Source organism: Homo sapiens, chromosome 4, assembly GCF_000001405.40.
Source record: "Homo sapiens chromosome 4, GRCh38.p14 Primary Assembly".
Lineage (NCBI taxonomy): Eukaryota > Metazoa > Chordata > Mammalia > Primates > Hominidae > Homo > Homo sapiens.
The window spans coordinates 8,450,344-8,473,938 of record NC_000004.12 but is presented as its reverse complement, the minus strand read 5'-3'; the positions used below and the strand labels follow the sequence as shown (position 1 = coordinate 8,473,938).

Below are 23,595 nucleotides of genomic sequence, written 5' to 3'. Positions count from 1 at the left end.
CTCCCGAACGGCGCAGGCAGGCTCCAGGCTGGCCCAGCCTCACTGACCCACTCCCCGTGTCTACAACCCTGGACATGGCAGGTAGCTCCCGGCCGCCCCTCTTAACACCTGAGCCCCCATCTGGCCAGGTGCCAGAAGGGGCGGCCTTCCAGAGGCACTTGCTCTAGCCAGCTAGAAAGACAACCAACAGCTAGAAAGACTCTCCTCCTCTGGAAATGTGCTCCTCATTTTGAAATGGAACCACAGAGCCACAGTCTGCTCCACCCAAGTTCCTGCCGCCTCCTCCCTCCTTACCGTGCGCATCCCCTGGGACTCTACCTCAGCACAGGAGCCGCCATCTCCACCACTGCTTCTGACAGCAGACAGACACTCCCTTTCACCAAGTTGCTCTGAGGAACGGGTTGAGGATTACAGTCCTCGGATGATGCCATAGGCTCAGGGGTGCCAGTGCTGGGTCAGACCTGGCCCGGACTGTGGCGTGGCCTCTCCACTCACTGGGAGACATCGGGCCGGCGCACTGACCTCTCTGAGACTTGTCTACATGTTCAAGGAGGAAAGGCCTGCTCTGCCATGAGTGCAGGATGAGATGAGGCCCCGCGTGTACCCGGCAGCACGGTGCCAGGCTCCATACCAGCCAGCATGGATGCAGCGCGCCGCCCCTTGGCGGCCTCAGGAAGGGGCAGGGACAGAGGCAGGGCTGGCCCTTGTGGCCCTCATGGGTCATGCTCAGGGCTGGCTGACCTGAAGCCATCTGGAAACATTTCCAATTCCTCACTCTCATAAACATTTTCTGAGACTAGCCACGTTAGCTTAAAACAAAACCTAAACCTCATACAGAGATAAGACCCAGCTTCAGAGCATAGTTTTCGCATGACTGGAGGAGAATGTTTATTTGGAACCCAATTCCCAGGCCTCCTACTCAGAAGCGTTTCCAAAAACAAGTTTGCCCCCCCAGGGTGACCTGCACAGAAAAACACTGACATACAAGCAGACTCATCATGGGTGAAAAAGACAGTATTTCAGGAAACCAACAAAAACAAGTGTTGGGAAAGACAGAAAGAGGCCCCGTGGAGGTGGGAAGTATTCTAACTGCCTAAAGCTCTATGCAAGGAAGAGCAGACTCCAGGCAGCAGGCCCAGCCCAGCCAGCAGGCCCAGCCCAGCCAGCACTGCAGGCCCAGTGTCTACTCTGGGGGCAGCCTCAGGGACACGCTTCTGCGCCTGCCCCGAGAAACACAGGCTCCAACCATGCTCACCGGCCCCCCACCCAACAGCAGCTCTCACCTAGAGAGGCCAGTTCAGCTGAAAGCCAAGTTCAGCTCTCCAGGAGCAGGCAGGCACACAAAGGCAGTGTGTGTGTGTGCACAAACCCACACGCTTGCACTCTTGTGTACACATGAGGAATGGCACACACACCTGTGCTCTCTCACACACCCAGAGAGCCAGACACTGTACTGCACCTGATCCCCACGGCTACTTCATGGGCAGGGGACCCAGAAGCTAGGGTGTAAGCCAGGCCACTCCTTCCCACTGTGACTTCGGTGTCATCCCTACCCATCAGAGGCCCAGTCCTTTTCCTGGTCATGGCGGCTGTAACCCGACCAGCTCCCACTCTTACTCCTCCCAACCCTGGCTCTTTGCAAATGCTGTTCGCTCTGCCTAAAGCTGTTCTCTGTTCCTGACTCCTCTTTTCCTTCCAGGCCCAGCTCAAGTGTCATTTCCTAAGTAAAGCCCTCCTGAGCCCACTCGGGCCAGGCCAGTTCTCCCTGCACATCACAACTCACAGAAATGTGTGCTTAGGGCATGGTGGTGACACAAGAAGACACCTACTATTCTTAAAGATGCACGTGGAAGTACTTAGGGGTGAAATAGCATGCTAGCTAGAATTTGCTTTAAAATACTTACAGAAAGAGGAAAAAAAAAAAAAAAGCGCCACAAAGCAAGTTATGGCAAACTCCCCAGCCGCTGGCGCTGGTAAACCATGGCTCCCTGCCCTGTTCCTGCCCCCTCTGTGCACACCTGGAAGCTGCAGATGATGGAAGTGTGTACACCACTGGCACCTGGGTGAGCACCTGCTACATCTCCCCCCTCCCTCACTGCACCACCGGCTCCAGAAGGCCAGGGATGTGTCTGCCTTGCTTTGCGGGCTGAGTGAATGGACAAGCGGGTGGAGGGCCCTCCTGCCTCCCCATACCCTGGCAGTCCTGGAGTCACAGGGCGTTGGGGAGCAGGGGAACTGGGTACCAGGACCTCCGCCTGCCCAGGCCCGTGGGGCGAGGGCCACAGGAGTCCAGGCCTCCGCCTGTGGGGCAGGGCTCACTCTTCCCACTCCCCACCCTGGCTCTGTGGCTCAGGATGCTTTCAGTTTGCAGCAGCTAAAGATGACGCCAAACAATGACCCCCAGCCAACAGGGGACCGGCCAGCGGCTACCCGACTTGCTCTGTCCTGCGTGGAGCAAGTGGAGCTGAGGCGTCAGCAAGCACAGCATAGGGGGAGAGAGACCAGCCTGGGGACATCGCATGGGACGAGGTCCAGAGGAGCAAGGAGGGAACGGGGTGACCCACGTCCCACCCTGAGGTCAAATGCCACCCACGTCAGAGCTGGGTGGGGCACCGCGGAACTTGCTGCTTCTGTCAGATTCTTCAGTGAGTCTAAACCACTCTAAAATAAAACATTATTTAACTGAAAAAAGGGGGAAAAAGAAGGAAAGAACGGCGGGGGAGAGGCGGACTCCGTACCTTGGAACACCTGGTGGCTGTTCCGGAGCAGCGTCTGCAGGCCCCCACACTCCCGCTTCAGCCTCCGCAGGGTCTCCGTGTCCAGCTCGTTGGCTACTTCTGCCAGAGATAGGCTCTCTGTGGAAAAACGGGTTTTTTTTTTCCCCAAAACAACAGCAAAATATTACGAACCTGTCACACAGGCAGAAACAGTCCATTTCAGTTCCATACACTCACACGCGTTATGCACTCCAGCACGAAGGACGATTCCATCTCACCTAACCCACACCACACCGCACCAAACCGTGAGGGCCGTGGCGTCCCCACCCAGCTAAGGTGGCACAGCCTGACAAGACGCAGCCCCACACATGCCCCATGCCCGCACAGGGCCAGGCGTCAGGTGATGCTGCCTGCTCTGGGTGGTCACCTCAAGCTCTTCTCACTGGTGACCCATGAAGGGGGGTGGCTGTTTGGAGCCAGGGTTTCTCAGACTAAAGAAGGAAGGCCAAGCTGGCAAGCCTGGGGCCTGAGCCTTCCCAGTGGCTGCTCCAACCATGGGGCAGCCAGCCTGGCGCTACCGGCTCTAGGGTGGCCAGCAAGGCCATGCTAGGCACTAAAAAAAGGAACAGCACAGACACCACAGTGATGGTCTCTTTCCCATTCGAATTTCTGCTTTGAGAGCCTGCAGGTATTTCAAAATGCTCTAATCAGAAAACCTGGTGACATTAAAGTCATTTATTACCAAAACATCAAATTGGATATGAATGAAAGCTGGTTTTCCTGCATGTATTTGCCAGGAACTTCCTATCTGCCAGGTGCTGCACCTCACATCTTATCCACACCCTCCCAAGCTGCAGGAGAGCGGAGGAGACGGCGCCTGTCTGTATGCAGCTGAGCCTGTCAGACCCCTACGGATCAGGACACCACACTCCTGACCCAGGAGCCTGGTGCTGGCAGCCGCTGTCGCAGCTGCTGCGAGAATCCTGCCCACCCAGCCTGGCCAACCTTCTGAGTCCACCTCTCGGCTGTCTCAAATCCATTCTGAGAGGAGCGGGAGTGTTTTAAAAAAGATCACATATTGTCCCAGTCAGCCTTCCCTGTTGCCCCGGCTCTGGCCCAGCATGGACTCCATAACAGGGAATCTCACACTCAGCCATGGGTGCCTCCTGGCCTGGCATATCCGGCCTCTTGGTTTCTCATCCTTTGACGTGTGCGGTCTTGACTCCTAGCCAGGCAGGACTTGGAGCCTCTTGAGGGCAGGGCCCTTTCCTACCCTATTTCTCAGCAGTGTCCCACAGGGACAGACGCCGAGCTAGGATGGGTGAGGTCCTGGAGACAGAGCCACACATGGCCCACAGGCACAGAAACGCAGAGGTGCCTGCCTGAGGACAGGCTGGGTGGGGGCGACCAAAGGCCCTGAAGGCCGCCTGTGGGCGGGAGGGAGGCAGTGGGCTGAGAGGCCAAGGCCACGTGGAGAGTCCCTAACAAGCCCCAGACCCACGGACACCCATCTGGAGGGGACGGGGGTCCAGAGCCTGTTAGGTGCCCTGATTCCCAAGTTCCAAGGCGCAGGCAGGACTGAGCCCACCGCTCACCCATCCCCGCTCTCCATCTCCAGGTCTGTTCCTCCTTCCTCCTCACCCACCGAAAGCCGTCCATCCCAGGCACAGCTGACATCTGTGTGCCCGTCATCTCCTGGGAATTTAAAGGTCAAACTGCACTCAAGAACTGTCACTGTTTACTGCACGTGGGAACTTTCAGACCACACTGATGTCCCTGGGGCTCTGGGTCCCAGTTGCCTGTGGTGGGCTCCATGCTCTGCCAGCCTCAGCCTTCTTCCTCTGTGCTCCAGCCCCACCACAGCAGGGTGCCTTTAGTCAGCAGGGCCAACCCAGAGGCCCCACGGTGCCTGGTGGTTTGCAGCTAGTCGGCCCCATCAGCCACTGAGCCAGGGCCACTCTCGCCAGATGGCTAGAGGCTCTGCTGACCAGGTACCATCAGGTTCGAATGATTTCTGGAGGGGCCGTCTATGCTCCATGGCCCGGTCCCATCCCACGTACACATGGTACAAGAGGACAAAGGATGAAGAAGGAAACGGGTATGATTTTGTCCCAACATTCATAGGTGAGGAAAGCAAAGCCTGGAGAAGAAGGGTTTCCCTCAAATGCGCAGCCAGGCAGAAGTCACCGACGGAGGGGCCGGGAGGGGATGGGGCTCCGTGCTCTTCTCCAGTTCCCAAAACTGCAAGAGAAGCCAGGCGTTGGCTGCAGCTCTACACCACCCTCTGGCGGCCAAGCAGCATCCCTGCCCGGAAGGAGGCGAGGTCCTTACAGCCCTGGCTGGCTCTCTGAATGCCGTTAATTTCAACACACCACTCACCTGAGAACATAATTTCAGCACACCACTCACCCCATGAGAACAATCGATGTAATTTTCTCCTTTTGCCATGGATGATTGTTGTGTTTTGGGGATTTCAAAGAGAATTAAATTATCGAATCACAACAGCTCCAAATCTTACCACATACTCAAGGGGACAGTGCATTTTGCTTGCACTCAGTAACCTGTTTTCTCTTTGGATAATTTCTAGATTGAAAATGAGTAGTTCTAGCCCCTAAACCTGCATGTTTGGTAAAAGTTAATTAAGGGTCCAAACTCTGTCACTCCCTGGAAATAACAAAGTCCTTTATGTTTATAAGAGCTATTTGGAAAATTTTAAAGAATTTGCTTGAAGAGAGCCTATGCACCCACCATCAATGGCTTTTTCAAAGTGTGTAGTCACAGGGCCACACCATTTCATGTCGGTTCTGAAGACGTGAATTCCTGCCCTCAAGCCTGGGAGCGTGCTAGCCCCTCCCTAAGATGGTGGACAGCTTACCTCCCCCATTCCAGGTCTTCAAACTCCCATTTCGAGAACTTCTTGTGTTTAATTGCTTTCCACCTAACAGTAAATTCGCTACTTGCAAAACCACTTGGTCAATAAAATCTCGTGGCAGGGCGGCACAGTTCCTCACACGCTCAGCCTTTTCTCTGGGATGAAATCCAGGTAGCCAGGGTCCTTCAGCCTGGGGCCCTGCTCCATGCTCAGCGGCCCAGGCCCTGGTTACACACCCGACCCTGGCGTCCAGAGCTTGCTGACCGTCACAGTGACCAGCACTGCCAGCAGCAACCCAGCGTGGAGAAGGGGAAAGCTCCCAGCCAGGTGGGCTTACAGGGCAGCCCCGCCTGCTCTTAATGTACTGAGTCCTCTTTTCATCCACGGAAGCTTCTCTGGAGGAAGGGTATGTTCTGGATTTTCCAACGAGACAGACCTGCGTTTGAAGAAAGCAAAGCAAGTATTTTAGCTGGCTAGTCTATTTCAACGTTCTCCATGGAATTCTCTCATCCTGGAGTACAAATCACAAGTTTTCAATGTCTATCATGAAAAAATCCTGATTTAAAAAACTGACACCAGCCAGGTACGGTGGCTCACTCCTATCATCCTAGCATTTTGGGAGCCCAAGGCAGGCGGATCACTTGAGTTTCAGACCAGCCTGGCCAACATGGCAAAATCCCGTCTCTACTACAAATACAAAAATTAGCCGGGCGTGGTGGCCCTCACCTGTAGTCCCAGCTACTCAGGAGGCTGAGGCAGGAGGATCATTTGAACCCAGGAGGCAGAGGCCAGTGAGCCAAGATTGTGCCAATGCACTCCAGCCTGGGTGACAAGAGCAAAAACTCCATCTCAAAATAAATAAATCAATAAAAATAAATACAAAATAAAAACTGACACCAATATAAGTAACTTAAAAATTAAAAAAACAGTAAGAGCCCATGGTTCCCTCTCATCATTGTTAGATCTTGGACCTTCACAAGATCTAACAAAGGCGCCTAAACTCAAGAGTCCACACTCCTGGGCCCGGCAGCCGCACCGTCCTAGTTTCCCGCTGCCGCCCCTCATTCCACCCCTCGGCCGCCCGGCGGGGGCACATGCTGATGGTAACGCTGCAGAGTTGCAGAGTGCCCCAGGGGCTGGGAAGGGAGGCAGCTTTGTCCCCACCTTGCCAGAGCCAGCGAGTGCATACGGGGGCTGCGCAGAGGGCCTGGAGCCATAGAGGTGCTCCATGCGTGCTTGCCTCCCTTTGCCGCACACCCCGATGGAGGGTGCCCTTCAGACAGTCCCCTCCGGACAACCAGGCCCTGCCCAGCCCCAGCAAGGGCACCTCATTTCTGGGCTTCCTCTCCAGGCATCAACTACAAGGCCAGGCGCGGGTGATAAGGAAGCCGACCTCCTCACTACGTGACAGCCACACCTCTGCTCCCCAGCTCTTCCAGCGGGATTTTAAATTCTCAGTGCCTGTCACACACCCAGTCCCCACCAGACATGTGCTGTGTGTGAACTGCTTTAAAAATGACAAAGCACGTTCACATCCACTCTTACATTCGATCCCCAAACCTGCCAGTGATAAGAAAACTGAAGCTCAGAGAGATGAAGCGACAGTCCACGGTCTCTACCAATTAGTAATGGAGAAGCAAGTGCAAAAATCAAAGCCACGGGCTCCTCGGACCCGCCTAGAGGACCCAAACTTTAGCAGTTTCCCCAAATCAATTCTGAACTCAGAAGACCAAGACTTGCCAAAAACAGAGGACACAGAGGATGACGGGACGGTTCAGCAGCGAGTCCTAAGGTAACTTCCCACGGTAGCAGGGCAGTGACAGCGCCAGCGGCCCTGAGGCCTGTGCCACAAGCCAACGCTGCTCCTGGTGCACGGCTATGACGGCAGCCGGCCAGCGAGTGCCCACAACATGCCCTCCCCGCTGTGGGCTCTGAAGACATCATCCTGTCCAGCCCCCACAGAGACCCGGGCAGCCTCCTCCTGGTCTCACAGGTGAGGACAGGCTTAGCGGAGCTCCGCGATCAGCCCGAGTGCACCACGGGCAGCAGCAGAGCCGAGGCTTCACTCAGATCAGCTGGGCCCTTTCTTGCTAAGGCAGCCATCAAATTCTGTGGCCTGGACACGACGGGGTTATTTTTTAAAAGCACACTGTCTGCCAGCCACAGTCTTGTCAAATAAAGTTACCAGAGACATAGGTGAGCTGCTGTAAACACTTCCACGGTACTTTCAAAAGGTCAAGCCTTTGGAGCGGCAAGAGGGCATAAGTCTGCCCTGTCCACACAAAGGTCAGAGGCACAGTCCCACTGCTTACAGAAAGCCCCCGGGCCAACTTCTGCCCAAATGACATTTCAGGTGAATCTGAATGAACTAGGCCTTTAATGAGAAAATGGGAAATCACTGTGAACTTCTGAAACACACTTCAATCGCAGCCAATTATCTGCGACTTGAAGGAGCAGGAACTTTCCACAGGGAGGTCAGCCACAGGCCACACTGAGGCCTCCTCTGGGCAGGTCCCCTGGGGCCACTCAGAGCTTCTGGAGAGGCAAGGAGGGCTTGGCGAGGACTCCTGCAGGCCTGGAGGAGGGAGCACCGGGTGCCTTTAAGGAGGGCACCATGGGACAGAACAAGCCTCTGGGCCTCATCAGTGACAGAGGCACAGAAATCAGCACCGGCACGTTCTAGAACATTTTGAACGTTACAGCATGGTTCATGGCTCTGTGGCAGAGCCCTGAGCTCTCCATCTGAACACCGACACACCGCCTAGAACAACATGAGAATCAGACATACTCTTTTGGTTGAAGGAATCCTGAGGCAGTCTTCGTCCACGTGAAACCCACAGGTGAAGCCCACTTCTTTAATGAAGTCAAGGTATTCCCGGTACTGAGTCTTCTTACTCTGCCTCCGGGAGTATCTTCCAATGAAGTCAAAGAAGCAGCAGGGGAGGACAAAGAAGCGGCAATTGTAGGAAGACCTTCAAAAAGAACCAACAACCACAGGGTCAAGCATCCTGAGCAGACGCAGTCAAGGAAATTCGGAACAAAGCCACACGGCAATCGCATATCAGGGCAAAATAGGGAAGTGATGTTCCTGGCCAATATTGTTTCTTTTTGTTGCATATAATGTCCACTTTTATTTCAGCTTCAGGGGGTATGTGTGCAGGTTTGTGGCATGGGTGTACTGCAAGATGCTGAGGTTTGGGGTAAGACAGACCCCATGACCCAAGCAGTGAGCATAGTAACTACCAGGGGGTTTTTCAAACTCTGCCCTCTCCCTCACTCCCCACTCCAGCAGTCCCCAGTGTCTACTGCTGCCATCTTGATGTCCCTGTGTACTCAATGTTTAGCTCCCACTTATCAGTGAGAACATGCGGCATTTCGTTTTTGGTTTCTGCAATAGTTTACTGAGGATAATGGCCTCCAGCTGCACCCCATGTTGCTGCAAAGGACATGATTTCCTTTTCTTTGTGGCTGTGTAATATTGTTTTTCATATTAAAAGATGAATTACAGCCTTCCCCAAGTTAATTTCTAGAAATAAAGCAACATAGTATATCTTTTCAATAGAATCTAATTACTTTTATAAAAATGATTTTTTCCACAGTTCCTGTTATCAAGGGTCATCTGAAACTTCTTGAAGTACTTTAAGACGTCAGCTTTTAATAGGAACGGTTAAAGGGAAGCACAACGAAGCCTGAGCGAAGACCTGATCTTTCACCTAGTTACTCCTTGAGAATGAAAACAGCTCAGAAGAATCTGAGATAAGGAGACTCAGCAACGAAACGTCAACGAGGAGCAGCACAACCTGCTTCGTGACCAAGTCTCTCGGACACACACAGCTCCCCGTGCGGAGGCAACTGTGGCTGCAGAGGGTCTATCGATGGGTAGATTTCCCCTTTAAAGGCAAAGCCTCATGTTTTCAGAAAAAAACTTCCAAAAAGGACACCTCTTTTGACACCGGATATAAATACCGTAGAAGTAATCACAGTGCCAATCAGTGCTGGCCAACAGAGATATAATGTGAACAATCTCAGTAATTTTATATTTTCCAGTAGTCATATTTTAAAAGGTAAAATAAAACAGGTGGAATTTATTTTAAATTTAACCCAATACAGGCAATAAGCAAACATTTCAACAATTGGAACTACCCACATTTCAAGTGCTTGACAACTGCACGCAGCTAGTGGCTACCCTTTTGGACACCACTGTTTAGAAGATGAAGCATTCCCCAGCCATTCACCTGATAACTCCTCTACTTCTCACCTGGCTGCAATGACAGGTATCCATGGTGTGAGTTCATCAGAATGGTTACCGATTAACCAATCAACATCAGGGAAAAGGGTCTTATCATTGGGTGTGATTGCATCTTCCTAAAGGAATAACAAAACAAGACGAAATGTTTTGTGAATCATTGTAGAGCTACTGCGTGGGCAGGACATGGCGGGAGGGTACAGGCTCTGGAGTCACACAGCGCAGAGCCGCAGTTCACCTGCTGCATGACCAAGAGCGGGGAAGAGCGGGGAAGTCAATGTATCCTCCCTAGGTCTGCCTAGAGGGCAAGAAATGCTGGCAACTTTTAGGGAAATCACCGGAGAAACTAACAGCACTTTTCTGAGTGCTAATCGCCTTTGGATCATTTAAAAGCTGATTTTTCCACAGGCATAAGAAGGAGCTCCAGGAGAGACGGCCACGGAACGGTTTCACCTCTGGCAGAGCATGGGAGCAAGCAATGGCTTCGGAGGAAGTGAATGGAAGGCAGAGAGGTCTGAAGGTGATTTAAGGGCGTAATACAACACAGGGGTCTAACCTCACAGGCCTTTCAATCTAGGAAACCAAGTCTATGAATAGACAGAGAATTTACATATGTAAATACACGAAATTCTTTACCATTAGACTATTACCTTTTGTAAACTGTCAGAAAGTGATTAAGATCCCCCTGAATAGGCACTCTAACCATTCTGACAAATTCTGCAGTTAAGCTGAGGACAGCTTGCTTTTATGATTTAAGAACTTTAAATAGGCACCCTACCCTTTCTGATAATCAGCAGGCCATCACTAATTACTGAAATCAACAGTTTCAATAGCAATTCTGTCAGTAAAAACTGGAAAGAGAGAGGGGGAAGAGAGACCACACAACCATTGAAAATCTTCTTAATTTTCCAGTGGTAGGATGAGTCCCCAAGATAAGTGAACAGAAGTTATTCCCTGATCATAATGGGGAAGACATTCTGAGAACACTCACTCTTCAAGGCTATTCTTTCTAACAGCAAAACTATAACACAAGAATGTTTTACAGACATGGTAAGTAAAAAACTAAAACTGAAATTCTGTCTCTCTCTGGTTCTTCAATAAGCATATGTGCTTCTACTTACATAGATGTTAAAATACTGAAAATAGTATTGTTCAAGGGTATACGTATGATCTACAGAAATATCAAACCTTTGGGACTATTTATTCTTGATTCCCACTCATTCTAGATTTAAGTTTGCCCATCTGTCTCTTTAAATGGCGTGAATAAATTAAAGCATAACTGACATTTAGTAAAGACCATAATCATATTTTATATTATCTTGCCAACAGCACTAGATATCAAAGCCCCACCTGTTTTATGAAGTTTTTTTGTTTTGTTTTGTTTTGTTGTTGTTGTTTTTGAGACGGAGTCTTGCTCCGTCACCAGGCTGGAGTGCAGTGGCGCGATCTCGGCTCACTGCAACCTCCGCTTCCCAGGTTCAAGCAATTCTACTGCCTCAGCCTCCTGAGTAGCTGGGATTACAGGCACCCGCCACCACACCCAGCTAATTTTTGTATTTTTAGTAGAGATGGGGTTTCACCATGTTAGTCAGGCTGGTCTCGATCTCGTGACCTCGTGATCTACCTGCTTTGGCCTCCCAAAGTGCTGGGATTACAGGCATGAGCCACCACGCCCAGCCGTTGTTTTTCTTTGAGACGGAGTATCGCTCTTGTTGCCTAGGCTGGCGTGCAGTGGTGCGATCTCGGCTCACTGCAACCTCAGCCTCCCTGGTTCAAGAGATTCTCCTGCCTCAGCCTCCCGAGTAGCTAGGATTACAGGCATGCGCCATCTCACCTGGCTAATTTTGTATTTTTAGTAGAGACGGGGGTTTCTCCATGTTGGTCAGGCTGGTCTTGAACTCCCGACCTCAGGTGATGTGCCCACCTCGGCCTCCCAAAGTGCTGGGATTACAGGCGTGAGCCACCACACCCGGCTTTTATGAACTTTTCACTGGCATTTTGAACACAGCAAATTCCAATATTCCTGTTTCATATACAGGTTCACACAATTAAGACAATTTGTGATCACCACCAGGCTGTTGTTATAAACAGGTGTTTTGTTTTTAGTTTTTTAACACTCTCTTGCTTGCAATCAAATGAGGTTTTTGAAAGAAAGAAAAAAAGTTATATTCTACGCCTGGCCTTTGACTTTCTAGATTGTACCTGTTCGTGGAAACCACTCAACTGCAGCTGGAAGGAAATCATTCACTAGAAAATCCACAAACACCATGTGCACGTCAACGGAACCACCCTCATTCTGGCCATGCTCCTCCAAGGCAGAAAGCATGACAGAACTCCTGGCATTTATTTAACACTAGAATAAACATGGCTATTTTAGCACCGAGACTGAAGGTTGGGAGGTAACAAGGAAAAAACCTACACACTTGATTAGAATACAGAACTCTCAACAGCAGGCCTTTCCTGACTAAGTGCTCGGGGTAGGGTCTTCCCCAGGTCAGATGACCCTACAGAAAAGTCTGATGCAGGCTGCTGGGAAACCTCAGCTAAAGAACTAGAGCCTCCGCCCGTTCTCCAAGGGGCACCCTCAGCAGCCAGCTCTTCCCTAGGGTCTGGGCTTACACAGATGGCCTACTCACTGCTGCTTGAATTTCCTACCCAAAGGTGCTTTTTCACCTGGGGACACATGGAATTTTGAAATCAACCACACCACTACTGCTTTAGCTTTGATCATTAACTTCATAGCCAAGTTTAGAGCCCGATTCTGGGACATGTGTGAGAGTCTATAGTCTACACACATATTTGCAGAGCCTCCCGAGTGCACTGGCTAGATTACCAACATTCCTCAAACCTGAGGTTTTGAAAACATTTCCTAATGTAATGTATGAGTGGACAAGCAACTGCCAATCACTGTAAAACAAAGCAAAGAGTAAATGTACAAGCAAAGAGTAAGCACCCTGGCCCGGCGCAGCGGCTCATTGTCATCCCAGCCCTGTGGGAGGCCGAGGTGGGAGGATCACTTGAGCCCCAGAGTTTGAGACCAGCCTGGGCAACATAGGAAGACCCTGTTTCAACAAAAAACAAACACAAAATTAGTCAGGCATGGTGGTGTGCACCTGCGGCCCCAGCTACTCGGAGGCTGAGGTGGGAAGATCACTCAGTCCAGAAGGTTGAGGCCACAGTGAGCCGTGATCACATCAGTGTACTCCAGCCTGGGCAACAGATTGAGACCCTGTCTCCAAAAAAATAAAAGGGGGGCTGCGTGTGGTGGCTCATGCCTATAATCCCAGCACTTTGGGAGGCCGAGGCAGGTGGATCACTTGAGGCCAGAGCCAGATCAGCCTGGCCAACATGGCAAAACCCCGTCTCTACTAAAAATACAATTAGTCAGGCGTAGTGGTGGTGCGCGCCTGTGGTCCTAGCTACCCGGGAGGTTGAGGCACAAGAATCCCTTGAACCTGGGAGGTGGAGGCTGCAGTGAGCCGAGATCACGCCACTGTACCACTCCAGCCTGGGTGATAGTTCTCAAAAAAAAAAAAAGAGTGAGGCCAACAGAAAACATAAAAATAGTTTTGGAATATTTTTCTACTTATTTTTGATTTTCTATTTCTATGAAATGATATGCCTGAGATTTGTTTCAAAATAACAGTGGGAGCTGCTTGAGGGTAAGTGATAGAGAAAAGAATAATCCTTGCAGCTGGCTGGGTGACTGCATGGAGTACCTACATTCCTCTCTCTACTTTTGTATATTCCTGACATTCTCCATGATGAAAAGTCAACATTTTTTCATCTCATAAAACAACATTCTGCCCTCTGGCAGATGAGGCTCTGTGACCCAGTCACACCCAGAGGGAGAGGCCACTCCCACACCACCCTGGGAAAGTGAGGCCACGCCCACAGAGCCACTATACTATAACCTGTCCTAGGACGGCTCCTGAGGGCTACTCATGACTTTTTTCCCATTAGGGAGTCATTTTCTCTGTCCTCAGTACCAGGAGAAGCAAGCTACTCTTGACCAAGATCTGACTGATCTGAGTGCACTTTAACCCCACGGTCACATGGCTCTAGTGCCCAGGGCTGGCTGACAGCGTGGAATAGATGTGCTGTCAGGCCCAGACCCCCGGGTGTCTTGATGTCTGTAGCCCACCCTGGCCCAGCCTCTGTTCTGTTCTCTTCTCCAGCGGCGGCCACTACACAACACCCCCAGCCTCCTCCTCAGCACCTGCCACCACCCTCGAACCTGCTGCACACACTGGCTGTGTGTCTGCCTCCCACCCCTTCCCATGACCATAAAGGCAGGGGCTCTTGTCACTGTTAAATCGTCAGCACCTAAGAGTGCCCGGCAGGTAGGGGACACTCAAATATGTGATAAATGTGTACAGCTGTTTTTTCTCCCATTGGATGCATCTCTTGTAGTGCTCAGAATTCTTGCTGAAATGAAGCATATCTGAAGTAGGACCTTTTCGAAAAGCATTATGGCAATATGTATTGAAAATCTTTAAAGTCCAGGTAGGAAAAATATTTTTTAAGTGGACTATGATTTACACACAAAGATTTATGTAGTGTAATTTGTAATCTGAAAACAGATGGTCAAGAACAGAAGAGCTGAGTAAATAATTCTGCCTTCACCGCTTGCCGTACACATGGCTGACCTAACCTCCCCAAGGGTACCTCGGTTTCCTCGCCTGTAAAATGGGGATAATAAGAGAATCAACCTCCCAGTGCTGTTGTGCGGATTATGGTAAGTTACTGTACATAAAATACATTTACCTTTAGAAAGGCATCCACACACAGCACTGGATGACTGTCAGTTTTTATTACTATACAGCTGGCCCTTGAACAAAGTGGGGGTTGGGGGTTCTGAACCCCTACAGATGCAGTTAAGAATCTATGTATAACTTTTGGAGACAGAGTCTCACTTGCGTCGCCCAGGCTGGTGTGCAGTGGCACAATCTTGGCTCACCGCAGTCTCAACCTCCCAAACTCAGGTGATCCCCCAACCTCAGCCTCCCGCGTAGCTGGGACTACAGGTGCATGCCACCATGTCCAGCTAATTTTTTTTTTTTTTTTAGTAGAGATGGGATTTTGCCACGTTGCCCTGGCTGGTCTCGCACTCCTGGACTCAAGTGATCCTCATGCCTTGGCCTCCCAAAGAGCTAGGATTGCTGGTGTGAGCCACTGTACCTGGCCCATGTATAACTTCTGACTCCCCCAAAACTGACTACTCATAGCCTATTGTTGACCAGAAGACTTATCAATAATATAAACATAAAAGTCGATTAAAACACATTTTGTGTATTATATACTATATCCTTAAAATAAAGCTAGAGAAAATGTTATTAAGAAAATCGTGGCTGGCTGCAGTGGTTCACACCTGTAATCACAGTACTTTGGGAGGCCGAGGTGGGTGGATCACTTGAGGTCAGGAGTTCGAGACCAGCCTGGCCAACATGGTGAAACCCCATCTCTACCAAAAATACAAAAAATAGCTGGGCATGATGGTGGGCACCTGTAATCCCAGCTACTCGAGAGGCTGAACTGCTTGAACCTGGAAGGCAGAGGTTGCAGTGAACCTAGATCACACCACTGCACTCCAGCCTGGGCGACAGAGCAAGACTCCGTCTCAAAAAAAAAAAAAAAAAGAAAAGAAAAGAAAATCATAAGAAAGAGAAAATTTACTATTCATTGAGTGGAAGTGGACCGACCATCACAAAGATCTTCATCCCCATCCTCTTCACACTGAGCAGGCTGAGGAGGAGAAGGAAGAGAAGGGACGGGTCTTGCTGTCTCAGGTGTGGAAGACATGGAGGAGGTGGAAGGGAGGCAGGAGAGGCAGGCACATTCAGTGTAACTTCATGAAATACATCATAATTTCTGTCTGCTTTACTTTTTAGTTTCTCTAAAAACGTTTCTATCAGTGCCAATCCTTCTTCCATCATTTCCTTTAGTTTCAGTGCATATCGCAGAAGAGTCTATGGCATAAAAGAAGTCAAATGCAGTCTGGAATAATCAGGGCCCTTCTGCCACACTGTCTGTTAATTTGCTTTCTGGCACTGTCTCTTTTACATATTCTTCCTCATCATCTGGCGCTGGGTTGGCAGCACTCATCTCCATCAGGTCGTCTGTAGTTAATTCCTCTGGAGTGGAGTCTATTAGCTCTTGAATTTCTCAAGATCCGTATCTTGCACCCTTCATCTCCTGCCTTTGTTTGCTATATCCACAGTCTCTTTCATGATTTCCTTGACTGGCTCTGTTGTAAATCCTGTGAAGTCAGGCATGACACTTCCACCCTTCATCGCCCACCTTTGCCATATCCACAACTCTTTCATGATTTCCTTGACTGGCTCTGCTATAAATCCTGTGAAGTCAGGCCAACATCTGGACACTATTTTCTCTGGCGGGAATTTGTTTCAGGCTCGGTAGCTTTCATGGCCTTTTCTGTAGCAATGACGGTGTCTTCAATGGTAAAATCCTTGCAGGATTTTCATGATATTCTCTCTTGTAGTTCTCTTCCACAGCATCCAATCCTTTCCATTGAATACTGTGCATAATGAGGCTTAAAGGTCCTTGTAACTCTCTGATCTAGAGGCTGAAAAGAGAAGCTGTGTTTGGGGTCAAGCAGACCACATCAACACCATTGGTGTTAACTCAAGAGGTTCTGGGTGGCCAGGAGCATTGTCCAATATCAACAGAACTTTAAAAGGTAGTCCCTTACTAACCAGGTACTTCCTGACTTCAGAGACAAAGCCTTGATGAAACAACACTAGAGTTCTTGCTGCCCAGGCCTTCTTGTACAATCAAGTGACTGGCAGCTGGTGTTTCTCTTTTCCCTTCAAGACCTGGGCTTAGCAGCTTTACAGATAAGGGCAGTCCTGATCATAAATCTGATTCCATTTGCACAGAACAGCAGACCTAGCCTGTCCCTTCCTGCCTTAAATTCTGGGGCTTACTTCTCTCCTTTTTGGCATTTTTTCCAGAATAGGGTACTTTCATCTGCATTAAAAACCTGTTCAGGCAGACATCCTTTCTCCTTGATGATTTTCTTTTTACAATGTTTTATTTTTTGTAGAGATAGTTGGGGGGGGGGGGCGGGTGTCTTGCTATATTGCCCAGACTGGTCTTGAACTCCTGGCCTCAAGCGATCCTCCAGCCTTGGGCTCCCAAAGTGCTAAGATTACAGGCATGAGCCACCACACCTGGCCTCTCTGGTGATTTTCTTAATGGCATCTGGGAACTCATCTGCTGCCTCTTGGTCAGCTAAAGCTACTCCTCCTGTTATCTAGATATTTTTACAACCCAAGTCACTTTCTAAAACTATCAAATCATCTTTTGTTGGCATTAAATTCTCCAGCTTTAGAACCTTCACCTTCTTTCTGCTTTGTCATATAATGACTTCACCTTTTCTCAAATCATATTAGAGTCTGTATGTATGCTTTTCTTGTAGCAATCCTGCAACCATATCAAAGCTGCATTCTAAATATGAGATGAATACACCCGCCTGCTGGTGTACCTGCAGTGACAGTTTCACAAATTTCTTTCCCTCTCTTGCTTTTTTTTTTTTTTTTAACAACAGTTCTTACACTGGATTCATTTATCTTGAAATGGTGGGCAACTGCAGCTGCAGACTGAAATCTATAAGACATATCAAGGAACTCAGCCTTTTCTTCTAATGCCGTAACTTTTCTCTGCTTCTTGGGAGACTTCCAGCATCACCAGTGGCATTGTGTATGGGTCCTGCAGTGCTACTCGAGGTTTACAGTATTGCACCAAACACGTTGAAAAATACCAGAGATCACGTTTCACTAGGCTATGCAACTGACTGGAGGAATGAGCTGGTGCCACAGAGGTGATCGGTGTCACACAGCATTTTAATTGGGCACTTGAAACACTTGGGCTCACTGCAGTAGGAACGAGCAGTGACCAGGAAATTTTACAGTAGCACTGAATGGACTACAGTTAGTTTCATGCAATTATGATTCAATACTGCATCTTTACATTTGCGTTTCTCTTGACAGAGAATGACACCACATACAGTCTGGGTTTGTGTAAGTTTTGATAGATTTTAACTTCTTATAATAGATTTGTATGTATTTCATGGTTGTAAATGGTAAAATAGACTAGTATGTACGTATATTTAATGCATTCAGGACATATCTAACTTTTTCTGAATTTTTTTCAATATTTCTAGGTTATGCATTTCATCTGTCAGTTTTTTCAAATTGTTGCAAATTTCCAATAAAATTTTCCAATGTATTTATTGAAAAAAATCTGTATAAAACTGGCCCACAAAGTTCAATCCCGTGTTGTTCAAGGGCCAGCTGTACTTGTGTTGTTGTTACCTACAATTCAATGGAACATTGTACAGCCATTAACAACATGCTTGCAAATAATTGTCAAAGACTTCAGAAAATGCCTAGAATGGGATGTTAAATGAGCAGAAGCAGCCAGGGTCAAAGTTCCGTATACACCATGGTCACAAATATTATTTTTTAAAACTGTAAATGTGTACATATTGATTTCCCTAAATAAAAGAGAGTGATTATCTCTGGGTAGGGGCATTAAGAAAAGTGAGACTGTTTCAAGTCCTAAAAAAGGGAAATGTCAAGGGTAAAGAGGACTGGCCCAAAGATATGAGAGAAATTACGTGGGACTGCACAGTCTGCCCTACACATCATCTGTGTGCCCGGAGGTGATCCCGCCAGGGGGCATCTCGCTTCCGTGCTGGGCACCTGGCTGCCTCCACTTGCTCATGGGGGTGCTCCAAGAAGCCTTCTCAGAGGCCCCAAGTAGGGTCAAGCCCCTCCTTTGAGTCCCCACAGCCCTCTAAACCTTCTATCCCAGCCCTGGCACAGCCACCGCCCTTTGTGGCTCATCTGCAGGTGTCCCCATCCCTGGCGCAGTCCTGGCAGGCAGGGTACTAACTGCTTGCTGACTGAACGAGCAGCCTTTGGGAGGCCTTGGAGAAGACTTCGCAAAATGCACGGGGCACAGCCCCCACCTCAAGGCTGCACGGGAGCACCCCACACAAGATACAAACGGCACCAACAAACTCAGGGAGAGACAGCACTTCTGCCTGGAGGTCAGCGCCCTTCAGTCAGTTTAACCAGAAGGTTCTGTGAAGTCTAGTTTCATGTCTCTTTTTCTCTTCTCTAATTTCAGAGCACTTAGATTAATGTGAAGGTTTACTATCAGCATGTCTGCTTGACCTATACAAAGAGACACATTCATTACAGCAATTCCCACTGGGAGCTAAGCCATGCTGAGATCAAGGGCATGCGTAATAAAGACGGTACCTCTAACTGAGTTTGTGGTCCATACATGTCCCAGATTTTTCTTCTTCGGACATCAATCCCTCTGCCTGGATGCTGAAAAAATTAATTTTAGAAATCAAAGGTTAACCTTAGTACTTCATAATAAGTTAGCAAGAACACATTAAAGTTCTGCAGGCACTGCCAGCAGGACGAAGGGCAAGAGAAGAGCTTCCTGCCAGCAACTCATACCCATCCTGATGTGTCCAGCGCACCAGGTGCCATTACCCTGTGATACGATGGCCAGCTTAGCCACTTCCTGCTAGCAGCAACAGCTGGAACCTGCAGCCCAGTCTGGTGGTACCAAGCTGATTTTCTTGCTGCTGTACTGCACAGTACTGTACTGATGGCCTGCACATATTTGCCTACGCCTCTAAGAGCTTGGAATGGTTGTTACAGTGCCCTTTTTCAAGTGTGTCATTAGCATTCATGGATGACACCAGAATTTCTCAGCTGTCTAAAACAGATACCCACACCCCTGCAAGGCAGGTAAGAAGGTGTACTGCGCTAATGGTCATTATGATGGGACATGGAGTTCAAGATGGGACATGGAGTTGAGTGACCACAGTGGCCTTTAGTGTGGGAACATTTCCAGGGCCAGTGCCCCAGGGAGCACACCTGAGAACGTGAGCCAATTCTCTGCTCTCAGTCAAGGTCAGCTGCTGGCTCTTCTTGCACCTTGGCCACACTCATTGGCTCTCATAGGGCAAACTTATTTCTGCCAAGCCTGCAGAAGAGGAGGGGTGCACGAGACACCTCCCAGCTGTCTCCAGGTACCAGCTACCAAGCTGCCACCTGATACACTACCACCCCCACAACCAGCTTATAGGTATTATGATTAGAAACTCATTCTTTAATAACACACTTGAAAAAGGGCATTGTAACAACCATTTCAAGCTCTTACAGGTGTAGACAAATATGCGCAGCCTATCAGTACAGTACTGTACAGTACAGCATAGCAGGAAGATAATCAGTTTGGAACCATCAATATTGGGCTGCAGGTTCCAGCTGTTGCCCCCTAGCAGGAAGTGGCTAAGCTGGCCATCATATCATGGGGTAATGGCACCTGACGCGCTGGACGCACCAGGAGGGGTATAAGTTGCTGGCAGGAAGTTCCAGGCACAAGACACCCACCCCTACTGACCGTGCTACCTGGGCAGGTGCCGCTCTCAGCCCAAGAGTGCTTTCACTGCATCAGCTGAACATCCAGAAAATAAGGGCAAAACCCAGTACCACACACCACACTGTTCCATACTGTTGTCTGTGTATACATGACTGGCCGTCCGAGCCAGAACTGAAGCTTCTCTTATTTGTTTTTCTTTTTTTTGCAGAGATGGGGTTTCACTATGTTGCCCAGGCTGGTCTCAAACTCCCGGGCTCAAGTGATCCACCCGCCTCGGCCACCCAAGTGTTAGGATTGCAGGCGTGAGCCCCGTGCCTGGCCTGAAGCTTCTCAAGTGCAGAACCTGCCTTGCTTTTTATCTCCCTCCAGCTCCTTGAGATGGTGGGTTTCAAAAGAAAAATCTGACAGCAAAAAAACATCCATGCTACCCAAAGCCTGTCATTTTATAGGTCCATGCCGGGGCCCGGGGACTTCCTCTTAGGTCCAATGAGATCACCACGTTTCCCTTGTTTTAGGAGCTGTTTGTTTATCAGATTAACAGAAATTTATAAGTCTCTACCTACTCTGATAGCTGGCTGACTCCAAATCCAGGCTGTATCAGCAGAAAAAGATGTCAGTGAACCCTGTGCCTGACTTGAGGAAACTCTGGACAAGTTACCAGAAAAGGTGATGGAGCCGGGCCTTACCCCCTCACTGCTCAGGATGTGGACCAGGAGGCCATTTCCACATCCCAGGTCCACAAAGGACTGCCTGGCAGTTAGTCTCCTCTCAGCCCTTTCTTCTTCCCATAGAATCTAAGTGAAGAGAAAAACAAAACAAAGTCAGGTGGTAATTCACTCTACGCAAGAATAATTTAGACACAAACTGGTCAAAGAAAACTCTGAGTGAAAGGAAACTTGAAATCATCTACACTAAACATTCTTTTTTTTTTTTCTTTTTTTGAGATGGAGTGTTGCTCTTGCCGCCCAGGCTAGAGTGCAATGATGCAATCTCTGGTCACTGCAACCTCCGCCTCCTGGGTTCAAGCAATTCTCCTGCCTCAGCCTCCCCAGTAGCTGGAACTATGGGCTCCTGCCACCACGCCTGGCTAATTTTGTATTTTTAGTAGAGACAGGGTTTCACCATGTTGGCCAGGCTGGTCTCAAACTCCTGACCTCAAGTGATCTGCCCGCCTCGGCCTCCCGAAGTGCTGGGAATTACAGGCTTGAGCCACCAAACCCAGCCTACTCTAAACATTCTTATAGATAAGTAAACCAAGATGATTAAATCAGAGGGCATGTCCAAATGTAGCCAGCTAGCGAGCCAGCTGAGGAAAGGGCTAGAAGGTTCTAGGCCAGGGCCGGAAGACACGTGTTCCTCAGTGCTTCCCTGTGCCAGCCGGTGCCTCCACGATGACTGCTGAGTGTGGACGTACAGTTCCGCCTGCAGGTCAAGTTGGAACCCGAGGTCAAGTTTCAACCCAAACTTGTTGTATACGCATCAAAAGGACCACATGAAGTCAAACCATTACACGAGAAACCAACCTTGGCCAGCAGAATTGTGAGCACCGGCAGTTATGGATTTGGAAAATGTCCTTCACTACAGGGAACATCTGCCTGTAGCAAACTCCACCCACTCCAGAGAAGCTGAGGTCGCTTACACCCTTACCAGCAGGTATGCTGCGATAGCCACATCTTCATACACGAACTTCTCAGGATCAGTGACTTCAGGCCACACCTAAAACAGTTTCAAGAGCAAACATAAATTGTTCGGTTTCCCCACCACCATTTCCCAATACTTTAAGTATCCCTATAAAGCATAAATCAAACTGGACTAATCGTACACTAAAATAGGAAACATAAGCTCAAAGGCAGGAATTCACAACTGGTTTCTTACAATAAAAGATTTACATAAAGAAACAAGGCATGCCAAGAACAATCCAATCCAAAGCAAGATTTCACAATCAACAGAATGTACCTAAGGCATTTAGCTGAGGCAGTGGACACAGAGGAAACACTTAGCTACACTGTGCTCATTGTCTATGCAGATAAGGGCAACAAACAAGGAAACTAGGCGTGGGAGTGAAACTAGGGCAGGGAGAGCCGCGAGCCACAAACTAGGAGACCAGTGCTCCAGCCCCTGGTCCATCAGTGGCTGCTGTCGCCCTACCTGTCAAACAGGGATAAAGCCATGCCTCAACTAACACACAGGATAATCAAGGTGCTCTGAAAACTGTAAAGCACTAGCTGTGCAAACATGAGCTCTCATTATTAAAATTAGTCATGTTCAGAACTGGCATTAGGCAAAACAGGAAAAACCAATGGCCAATGTTAAAAGTTGAAATTTCTATTTCCAGTCACAGCGCCTTAGACAATACAGATGAACCATCCCACTAGAAACAATTTCAAAAGCTGGAAAAACATAAAAAGTACCTTCTGGACGGTACCAAATAGCTAACAAGATGGCAAAGGACCACGAGGCCAGGATGTGGGAGGGAGCCCAGCCTCAGTCAGCCAACCCCGGGGACCCACAGGTGCTTCAGCAATAATGAAAGGTCACAGCTTTAAGCCTGTGACCTTTGGGGTGCTTTTGTTACAGAGCAAGACGTGACTGATTAAAAAAATACATGGAAGCCGGGCAGTGGCTCAAGCCTGTAATCCAAGCACTTTAGGAGGCCAAAGCAGGCAGAACACTTGAGCCCTGGGAAACATGGCAAAACTTTGTCTCTACAAAAAATACAAAAAATTAGCCAGGCATGGTAGCATCTGCCTGTGGTCCCAGCTACTAGGGAGAATCGCTTGAGCCCGGGAGGTTGAGTCTCCAGTGAGCCAAGATTGCACCACTGCACCCCAGCCTAGGCGACAGAGTGAGAGCCTGTCTCAAAAAAAAAAAAAAAAAAAAAAACATGGAAATGACAAATTGTGGTTACTCCTAGGACGGGGAGGAAGATGGGAACTAGGAAGAATAGTAAGTAGCTTTGACTCTACCAGCAATGCCTTCTGCCTTAAGCTGGGCATAAACACACAGATGTATTGGGGGAACCCGCCCCCAATTCGGGGTCCCTGACTTCCCGCAACACAGATGTTTCTTGTTATACTGTTTTTACATCTTAGATAGAAAGTTTAAGCACATGTTATTATGAAATGTATCTCCTTTTGGGAACTGCTCTTTTGTATTTTAACTTTTCACATATTTTCTTAAAATATATTTAAGTTTATACAAAGAATTATGGTAATTTAGCCATTTTTTTTTTCAAGGTTCCATTACTTTTCAATTAAATATTTCCCTTTAGGTCTCTTGAAAACAAATAATATACAAGTAAAGATCAATCCTTTTCCATTATATATCTGTCT

The 23,595-nt window shown here is 48.8% G+C and overlaps 1 protein-coding gene across 17 annotated transcripts in view, besides 2 other annotated features; it reads right to left on the bottom strand.

The window, feature by feature from the left end:
• TRMT44 (tRNA methyltransferase 44 homolog) overlaps positions 1–23,595 on the bottom strand; it is a 76,174-nt gene that overhangs the window by 43,012 nt on the left and 9,567 nt on the right. For 13 of the 17 annotated variants that reach the window (XM_047449685.1, XM_047449681.1, XM_047449679.1 and 10 more), the window contains 7 exons: positions 21,911–21,979; positions 20,950–21,057; positions 19,126–19,197; positions 9,848–9,954; positions 8,378–8,561; positions 5,593–6,025; positions 2,739–2,855 (listed from right to left, as the gene is read on the bottom strand). In XM_047449685.1, coding sequence (XP_047305641.1) covers positions 2,739–2,855; positions 5,593–6,025; positions 8,378–8,561; positions 9,848–9,954; positions 19,126–19,197; positions 20,950–21,057; positions 21,911–21,979 — 1,090 coding nt within the window. The other 4 variants (XM_011513406.3, XM_047449686.1, XM_017007811.2 and 1 more) reach the window with 4 other exon arrangements.
• Positions 2,026–2,674: an enhancer, noted in NCBI's record as "H3K4me1 hESC enhancer chr4:8472992-8473640 (GRCh37/hg19 assembly coordinates)". NCBI's record gives its function as "activates a minimal SCP1, AML or CMV promoter by ChIP-STARR-seq in naive and primed H9 embryonic stem cells {active_cell/tissue: H9 hESC(naive and primed)}" and the evidence as "EXISTENCE:reporter gene assay evidence [ECO:0000049][PMID:30033119]".
• Positions 4,971–5,090: an enhancer, noted in NCBI's record as "active region_21296". NCBI's record gives its function as "activates an Ori minimal core promoter by ATAC-STARR-seq in GM12878 lymphoblastoid cells {active_cell/tissue: GM12878}" and the evidence as "EXISTENCE:reporter gene assay evidence [ECO:0000049][PMID:35858748]".